This window comes from Homo sapiens, chromosome 4, assembly GCF_000001405.40.
Source record: "Homo sapiens chromosome 4, GRCh38.p14 Primary Assembly".
NCBI lineage: Eukaryota > Metazoa > Chordata > Mammalia > Primates > Hominidae > Homo > Homo sapiens.
Window position 1 is genome coordinate 154581017 of NC_000004.12, and position 10018 is coordinate 154591034.

Sequence of the window (10018 nt, forward strand, 5' to 3'; positions counted from 1 at the left end):
TGGCTACCCATTCACAAGAAGATAAAAGTAGATTTTCTTCATGACATATTAAAATAAATTCTAGGTTAAATATATACATGCAAAAGAAAAAACAGGAAAAATAAAAAACATTTAAAAATTTAAGGAAGTATTTGAAATACTGTATAATCTTAGAATGGGGAAACATTTTGTGTAGGACAGGATGCACCATATAAATGAGCTCTGTCCCAAAGGAGTTCATAACCTAGTGCCACAAATAATATAAATATGTTAGAGGTAGGGATAGAATATGCTATTTTTGAGATAAGAACAAAAACAGTGAGGACCTAGAGGACAATTCAATTCATTCTATGATGGGCACTGGGGAAGGGTTCACAGAAGCAGCATTGAGCTGTTTTTAAAGGAGTGAATGGGTGTCTTCTAGGTAGTTTGTGAAAAGGCCCCAAATCATTAAAGGACCTGGTATTTCAGTGCCAGTGAGAAATTCAGTGTAACTAATGTGTAGAATGAATGATTGCAGAGGTTGAAAATGGACCAATTTTTGAAAGAGTTTATATTCCAAGCTAAGAAGTTTTAACTTAATCTTAATGTCTGCCTCCTGCTTAAGGCCACTGATTGTAGTTGAAGCTATGGTGATTGTCAGATCAATCAAGGAGAAAGAGAAGAGCGAGAAAATGTTTGGCCAAGACTGGTAATTGCAGACTTCCTTATCTATTCTCCCTCTTTTCCTTATTAGCAGAATCCTGATTTTAGTTAGGATAGTCTTGTACCCAAGCTAATAGTCAACTTGACTCAGCTTCTCCTGCAACTGAGCTTATCTATGTGACTAAGTTGTGGCTAATATAAGCAGAAGTGCTGTTTAGAACACTCAAGAAAGTTCCTTAAAAGGAGAAGGTACTCCTTTGCCCTTCTTTCTTTTCTCCTTCTTCCAGATTGCCAGAGGACATGATATTTGGATTACAAGTTGAACCAAGGGATAGAAGTCTTTTATTAAAATGACGGCTTTCTGAAGACTATGTGGACATACTCCTACATAGGCTTTTTTGTGAGCAGGAAATGAATTTCTGCCTTGTTGAAGTCAGATGTACCAAACCTAATCCCAAATGATAAAGATGAGTACCAATGTAAATGCAATGAGAAACCCCTACATTTAAGAAGTGGTCAGAGAAGAAATTACCAGTTAAAAACACTGAAAAGAGTAAGACGGGAAGAAATGGTATAGAAACCAAGACAAAAGGACAGGCCCAAGAGGCAGGATAAGGGCAAAATAAGTAGCAGATGTTTAAAAGAGAGAAGTAGAAAGAGGCTTGAATGCAGCACATTTAATTTACAATTGCAAAGTTGTGTTGATTTGAGATCAATTTCAAGAGTGTGGTAATTGCATGAAAACCAAGTTGAAATGGGCTTCTGAGTGAATAAGAGTCAGGGAGCTAAATTAATATTTAATTTCAGAAAAAATGAAATAATTTCAGAAAAAATTTCACCTAAAGATAAGGTGAAATGGAAAATAGATGTTTCATGTCTTTTCTGACAACCAAATTGTATCTCCAATTCTCATGATCCTGCTAATATTGGCTACCATTTATTAAATTAAAAGAGGTTTATCTAATCCTTTGATAAACTCAAAATCTTCTGAATAACTAGAAATGAATGGCCCTTCCCGTTCATAATCACTTTCATTCCAGGAACCATTTATATTCCTACATAGTATGCTATTCTGGAAAACAAAATATTTTCTAGTCTCAACTCAAATTCTGTCAAGGCAATACGTGTGAGTGTAAGTAGAGTGGGGATAGAGATAGCATGAAGTTCTGATGTCTGAAAGAAGTGAAGCTTCATTTGATTCTGAAGAAGTTCTTGTCCAAGTATCCAACCATTTGAAGGTATAGCGTTTAGTTTGTATCAGAGATTTACAATTCCCCATAAAGAAATGCAAGAACTCTGGGGTTCATCTGTGATGCATTTGCAAGGTTATTTCCCCTTTGATCCCCAGGCTCTGGCCCCTAGCTGTAGCCTCTTTTTCCTCCTCCCTCTCTTCTCCTCTCCTTCCCTCCCTCTCTCCTTCCTTCTTTGAGGGATAATGCAGTTATATCAGAATAGAAGCTATGTAAGAAAGGGTGGTATACTGGATTGCTTGGGATATTTTAATACATATTCAAGAGAAAATGACAAATATATCTTAATAGAAAAGGATACAAATTAAAAATCAGAAGGCAAGACCACCAGGATTAAAGATGCAACTTAGATCAAATATTGACCAAAGTAAATGGGTTGAATTTTGAATATAGCATAGATCATACTTAGTGAGAGGCTTTCGAACTAACGACTTACATTTAATAATAATTAGCATGTCACAGAATATAGTTTATGATTATTAGAAAAATGAAGTTAAATCAATACTTGGGAGATTGTTTATTAATGTGTGAATTATGTCTTTTTTTAATATTCATAAATAGTTTTAAAATTTTAAATGTGTTTTAGAAAGAAATTGGTTACTCCTTGGGAAAAAAATAAGTGTGCATTACAACGTCTAGTGGAAGAGTTTAAAGGATAGATTTTCATTTATATTTAGGAAAGAATGTTTCTCTTGCCTTCCTGGATTTGCTCCATAGCAAAAGACATAAATACATATTGTAATTATAAATTGTGCATTGTAATTATAAGTTGTAAATTCTACTACAAAGGTCAGCTATGGTTAGATTCAGTGAGTTTTACCTTAAAATATTGGCTTAAAACAATTCAAATCAAATGGATAAAACAACTTTTTGCTTTCCAATGGCATTATGATTTTGGGTGGTATGGGAAGAGAAGTTCTCAAACCAATAGTCTTCAAGGTTGCAGAGAGAAGCTTCTGTCTGCCACTTTCCTGATGTACTGAATGGCCCTTGGTATATCTTTATAAAAATGTTAAAACCCACAGAGCTATTTAAAGATAAAAAAAACCTTACATAACTTTATTTTTCAAAGACTAATATGTCTCAGGTACATTTAGCTACAGTACAAAGGATAAGAAAATAGCACCTAGGAATTTTTTAGGTTGTAGAGAATCTCAACTGCTTTACCTTTTGTATTTTCTCTCCACTTCTCTAGCAAAGAAGACAGAGTGCTCCCATTCCCACTTCTTCAGCCTATTGGGTCACAAGGGGCCTAATTTTCATGCGAACAGCCCTGAGGGAATAATCTGCCCCTCTAAAGGAAACCCAGACCACTCCATTCTCAATCTCATAAGGACTGTTATTCCTTGGGTCATAGGAGCCCCCAGGGTAGTAGATTCCATTGAGATTGGCTGCTTGGCAGTTATTATACCACCAGCCTCCCCCATAGACTTCTGCACAGTTCTCTTCCCACTGGTCTGCATCCCTGTCAAAGGTGCTGAACTGCATGTTGTTGTGAGAGGTGTACTCTGCCCCTTCCTCTACGGAACCCTCAATCAGAGCATCACCCGCAGTGCCTTCATAGGAGGAGACTTGGAGGGCATAGCCTTCAGCCTCAGAGCCTACCCGGAAGTGATATTCTGCATAAGCTTCATTCCCAGCCCAGTCCTCTAATTCAACCCTAAGAACAGAGCCCCTTTGGGTTAGTAAGTGGAGGTAGTCATTGCCTAGCCAGAATTCTCCTTCCCCCTCGTCATTCAGGCTGCCGAAACCTCTCTTGTAGTCTTGCCAGGTCCGGTTAAAATTCAGTGATCCATCCATTCTTTGCTGGATCAAAAGCCATCCTCCCAAACTGGTCTCTTGATCGCAATAAACAGAAAAAATCTTACTGGATCCCGGTAGCTTGATATTGAAAATGCCACTTTGGGTACCTGAAGGATGTGTTTGGAGGACATCATCACAGTCTAAAAAAAAAATTAAGCTGGTTGGAAGAAGTTATTCTCATTTAACTTTACAAAGATAGGCACGGCTCAGATTAAATAAGGCAAATACTGTTTCTTTCCCTTCCTTTCTTTCTTCCTCCTTTCCTTCCCTCCATAGGGAAAGGATGCACTTACAGTGGGATAGAACTTATGCAAATAAGCGGTTATTTATACCTACAAATTGCAAAGGGGATTTTCCTCAAATGTATTTGGAATTTTACTTGCACAAACTAATAGCAAGTAACCAGTACAGGTAGCTAAGCATCACTTAATACTAACACAACTTGTATTTAGCCTGACCTAAATGTCAACTGAGACACATACTAAAAATGTGATTAATCAGTTGGGTGACAATTCTAATAGCACACACTTTGAATAGTGAAAGAATTTGACTAAATAAGCTCAAATAGAGTTTCAGAGGAATTCATTCATCCATTTAACATGTATTTATTGAGTCATGGCTCTGTACTGTTAGGCATTTGGGAATACAGAGATGAGACAGACAAAGGCCCTGCCCCCAAGGAACTTACAGTCTAGCACAAAAACAGACCAAAAAAGTGTAGTTTCAATGACGTGTAACAGAGAGTTAAGAAGGAAATGCAAGGGGCCATGGGAACACTGTGCAGAAATATTTAACTTAGTCTAGGGGGACAGGGAAGGCTTCCCCAAAGGAGAAGTGTGGATACCTCTGACAGGGCGAGATTTAGCATGGCCTCTCTTGGTGCTATGTGTTCCTTCATGATCGGCTTCACTTCCGGCCTCATCTGCCATTTTATAGCTCTTGCTTTCAAATGTGGAGTCTCCTCTGTTGTAACTCGTGCTACTAGTAAATTGTTTGCTGTAACTTGAAGATTTACCACGGGAAGGGAATTCAGCTATCCCAGGGTGATGAGAACTGGATTCCTTTGTATTTGTGAAGATGCCAGATTCTGAGCCCCTAGACTCAGTCTCACTGACAAACTCTCCTAACATAGGTGAGAAGAAACCTGGGAATGTTTTTCCAGTTGAGGCAGTGTCGAAGAAGGCAGCTTCATCAGGGTGCCTATGGCGGAACCCATCCAGAGTACCTATGCCAGACAATGTGCCTAAATCCATTGCCTCGGGACAGTCAGAACCATCTTCGGAGGTCACCACTTCTTTGGTAACTTCTTTGTGACCATCAGGACCAATAACAGTCTTAGTAACGGTTTTAGAGCATGAACGACGCGTGGTGGTTGTGCTACCAGAGGTGACCTTCTCTTTACCAGTCCTGAGCTCTTTATCTCCTTTAGAAGTGACCAGTTTTTCTGTGTGGTACTCTCTCCTTGTCCCTGGACTTACATTTCCTGACACCTCTTCAAATGTGCCCCAGTCTGGGTTGTTAGGCCTCGCGTTCCCAGAGCCTGGGCTATCTGGCCTAAAACTTCCAGATTCAGAGTGCCATTGTCCAGTACTACCAGATACAGAGCTCTCAGAGGTCCAGTGCCCAGCACTTCCGCGTTCAGAGCTGCCAGGATTCCAGGTTCCGGTACTACCAGGTCTAGGGCTCCCAGGGTTTTGGTTTCCAGTACTTCCAGTTCCAGAGCTCCCAGAGTTCCAGCTTCCAGTACTTCCAGGTCCAGAGCTCCCAGGTTTCCAGGTTGCAGTCCCTCCAGTCCCAGAGCTCCCAGGGTTTCGGTTTCCAGTACTTCCAGGTCCAGAGCTCCCAGAGTTCCAGCTTCCAGCACTGCTAGGGTTCCTGGGGCTTTCCGTCTCTGATCCGGTTCCATAAGAGGTGGAGCCTCCTCGAGTAATCTCATTTCCACCAGGTCTCTCTAACTCCATTCTCATCTGCGGCATGTCTGTTAATGCCTTCCACTCTGGGGGTACCTTCTGAAGCTGGCTCTTAAAATTTCCGGGAACCAAGTCTGGAACTGGTTTCATTTTTATCAGTGGTAAGTGTTGCCTATCTCTAGAGGGAAGTAAGTCTTTGGCAATGACCTGTTCAAGTTGCTTCTGCTGATCTTCATAGTCCTTCAGATCTACTTCACGAGCTAAAGCCCTACTGCATGACCCTCGACAAGATCGGATCTTAATATCAATGTCCACCTAGAGAGAGGGGAGAAAAATAAAGAGAAAATGTAGATACAAATACATAAACTACGTCTATTGAGTTCCTGGTAGTTAATTTTCCTTCTGGAAACTGGTTTCATTTTTTTTGACTCGGAGACCTACCACTTAATATTCTCTGTTTTCTGCCTATCGAGCACCCTCAGTGGAAGAGATGTTGGGTATTGCAGGGCTAGCCAGGATAAGCAATGGATGCTGTTTAATTCATCTTAGCCTCAGAATGGATCAAGAGTAAGGTGCTATTCCCTCTCAAAGGAAACGCTAATTAAATGATCCTTGGTGAAACTCAGGCTGAGGGCTCAGAGGTGTGGTGATGTAATGGGCTTTGGAATTAGACAGGGACTGAACATTTGCTTTTGAAATTTACTATCTATGTACCGTTGGAAAATTTACTTAATATCTCTGAATTTTTTTTCTTCAACTGTGGAGTGAGGAAAATAATACCTACTTTTAGGTAGATGATGGATATAACACTTTTCTCTGCATATAGTAGACACTCAGTGCATAACTATCGCCTTCCTTTTCCCTCTACTCAGAAACAAGGACATCTGGGACCACAGCCACATACTTACCTCCAGTCGTTTCATATCAACCAACTGAGCTCTAACATTTTTCTGCAGAAGCTGGATATGCTGTACTTTTTCTATGACTTTGCGCTTCAGGACTTCAATTCTGCTTCTCAGATCCTCTGACACTCGGTTGTAGGTATTATCACGGTCTGAAATCGAAAATATGGTTATTGAAGTAGCTGCTGAGTGATTTGTCTGTAATTGCCAGCAAAAAAGAAAGGAAGAAAGGAAGGAAGGAGAAAGAAAGAAAGAAAGAAAGAAAGAAAGAAAGAAAGAAAGAAAGAAAGAAAGAAAGAGAAAAAAGAAAGAAAGAAACTAGCTTGTAAATATGCCTAATTTTATTTTGGTTACAGTTTAATCTGTGAGTTCAAAACCTATGGGGCATTTGACTTTTGGATAATGTTATGCCCTGCAGCCTTCCATGAATGCCAGTTAAGATGTCCTAATAGCAATTAGTAATCCCAAAGAAATATAGAAGAAGAACTTTCTTTGGAATTTTAAAGGTGTAATTTGGAGTTAAAATAGTTGGTTTGATTGCATTTCAATTATTTTATAACATCCTTAATCAAGGGACTTGAACATATTGGATTTTCTTACTGATGAGCTTTTCTTTTTAATCTATAGATTTGAAATGGTTCCTAAGCTGTTTTGGGTCAACAGGATCACTCACTTGCCAGCTAGTGTTGCATCACTGATTTTAAATGTCAAGTGTTTGTGAAGGTGTAAAAAGGCAAAGCAAAACTTGAGAAACTGAGGACTCCCTAGACTCGCTGTCCATGCCCAGAGTGAATGCAATGTTTCCTAACCCTAATGAGTAGACTGTGAGAATGACGTAGCTTGACCCTATATTTTAAATTTAAAAATCTACCTAATCAGCTCAGTGGAGTCTGGGAGTTGAATTCCCAGCTCTGTGTCTTTGAACAAGTTCCTTGACCTCTCAGTTTTCACCTTTACAAAGCAGAAACAAAAATATCAACTCAAAGAGTCTGACCCATCCTACTTTCAGTATATACTGTTGAAAAGAACACATTTAAATTCTTGTTTTTAATCCAAAATTCTGACTTATTTTGTGACCTTAAACAATCTCAGTTAACATCTTTTACTTTGAAAAAATAACGAAAACAAAAGCTCCCTCTTAAAATTTTCAGGGATATTATGAAGGTATGTGTTTCTACACTAAGTACTTTGGGATGAAATTGTCATAGATATAAGCGGATATCATATTTATTTAGGATTTTTGTTGTTTCTGTTATAAAGTCAAAGCAGTAAATATGTAATACTTACTATTGGCTGAGGAAAAATCGCCTCTCAAAATTTCCATTATATTAGTGGTCAACGAATGAGAATCCTTATTGTTCTTCTGATATTCAAATAGTGAATTTTTGAGCTTATTTATTCTGTTTGTAAAATCTTGATTGACTTCATCAATCAACCCTTTCATCCTGCAGCCAGAAGGGCATTTGTAGTTCTGAAAGTGAAGGGAGAAAATTACAGTAAGGATCTATCTCTCAGATTCAGAATAATTTTGCATGTTTCCATGCAGCCCCCATTTCTTCCTACCCTATCTCTTCCAGATAAGTTGGCTTAAAAGTAGGTAAGAGGACTAGTTAGAGGTCGCAGAGAAACTCTGGAATGAGGGTCCACTTAGCCATAAATTAGGTGCCAGGAAATTGAGGCCACAATACTCAGGAGCCTGGTTTTGCCTGAGCATGCAACTGAAATCCTGTCTGTTCACCCACTAATGATCCAGAGTTGGGGAGGTAAATAAACAGTGCTCTTGGGAGTAGGTTCCTTTTCTTTATTTGCTATGTAGGTAACTATTCAATTATTTTCTATTTAAAAAAGTTTCTGGGACCAATCAGGTCAGCCTGTGAGCCCCTCTAGCATCAGAGGGAAGGAATCTCCTGCTTCCCCCGCTGACTGCTTACCCAGTCTTCATCAGAGCAGAAGGGCCAGTCTGAATCTTTGCAGGCAGATTGATGTCTTTCCACAACCCTTGGGCCACGCACGCCTCCTCCTTCAGCTAGAAAGTCACCTTCACCACTATCTGCAGTCTTTAAAGATTCATTCACATACACAAAAGAGAGCAACAGCAATGTTAGCCAGAAGAGGAGACAGTGGCATGCCTACAAGTCCCCAGGAAGAGATGGCACTCTCACAGAGATTAAGGAGAGCAGACACAGGGCTTCGGCAAGCTTCAGGTTTCTTATCTTCAAATGGAAATCCTAGGACCCATTTTATGGAGTTGTTATGAGAATTAAAGGAGACAAGGTGTACAAATTTCTTAACTGTGTGTGACACTTAAATAAGCATTTGATAAATATTAGGAGTTTTAAAGAATCCATCCTAAAAGGAAAATTATTTGAATCTATAAAATCAGTTAAATTTTACCTTTTCATTTTTACTAATGACTGCAGACAGAAAGTTGAAAACTACTGTAGAGCTCTTTCTCCTGTAATTGCTGCTTCAGTAGAAAAACCTAGACTATCTTAACTGAATGTTCCTCTCTCCTTCAAGTTTCTATGTAACCTTTAGAGATGGATTCATAATTTAAAAGAATACCATTACTGCGGAAAAGCGTATTGCCTTACTAACTAATCTCTTCTGATACTGCAAAGATATTTCCAAAGATAATTCGTTTGCTTTTTCTTCTGTCTTGACAAACACAACAATAACCTTTCAGCAAAACTGTACTAACACTAAAAGTTCTGCTTATTATGGACAAGTAGCAAGAAATTAATAACTAAAGAAAACAAATCTTACCATAAAATGTTTTATTCCATTAACTAGCATTATAATGCACCAAGGCTTTATAGGTACAAGGATGGCAAATAATTCTTGCCCTTTTTAAAACAAAACAAAACAAAATGTGGTAAGACTGAATGACAGATGCTAAAGTTTCCCTTGTGAGTTTGTACACTCTCATCCATCTAAGATCTTCCTCTTGGTGTCATATTACCCTGTATTCTTGAGGTGTCAAGCCCACCCAGGAAATTTCCTCCCAGGCCTGGGGTCATAAAGCTAAGAGTGTGTCAGGACATAGAGCAGGTAGACTCTGACCTCCAGGCTCTTTGTGGAATAAACACCAGAGAGAAAGCAAGAAGAAAAAATGAAAAGGGCCATACCCATGCTGTGCCCACCACACTTAGGACCAGGCAGACGATCCTCATGGAAAACATCTTTTCTAAGGGTGGGGCTGGCTCCTGAGGAGCACTCCAGCTGAAAGAAAGGATTGCTGCCACTCCTAGTTCCCATCCTATTTAAATCTGCAAGAGGTTTGGTTAATCATTGGCTTTGTCCTGTGTAGACAGTCAACCCTCCCTCTACGTCCTTTGTTCCTCCTATGCTGTTGGTATCCCAGAAATTCTTGCTCAATTCCCCTCAGCTTGTTTGCTTCCGATAAGCTGTTGCAAAGGTAGCATTTGATTCTCCAGTCAACAATTAGGAGATCTCACATTCCAGGAACAGGGTGGCTTTGAGAATGAAAAGAGGAGCATAGGAGGGTATATCCATATTTCTAAACGTG

The 10018-nt window shown here is 39.3% G+C and overlaps 1 protein-coding gene across 2 annotated transcripts; it reads right to left on the bottom strand.

Moving 5' to 3' along the window:
- FGA (fibrinogen alpha chain) lies at positions 2110 to 9726 on the bottom strand. Of its 2 annotated transcripts, NM_000508.5 has the most exons (6): positions 9618 to 9726; positions 8421 to 8546; positions 7777 to 7960; positions 6496 to 6641; positions 4522 to 5902; positions 2110 to 3817 (listed from the first exon to the last, which is right to left on the bottom strand). In NM_000508.5, exons 1-6 carry the CDS (start codon positions 9669 to 9671, stop codon positions 3108 to 3110), a joined length of 2601 nt encoding a protein of 866 aa, NP_000499.1. In that variant the 5' UTR covers positions 9672 to 9726; the 3' UTR covers positions 2110 to 3107. The 2 variants fall into 2 exon arrangements, with proteins under 2 accessions (NP_000499.1, NP_068657.1); NM_021871.4 differs by lacking the exon at positions 2110 to 3817 and having other exon boundaries at positions 4259 to 5902.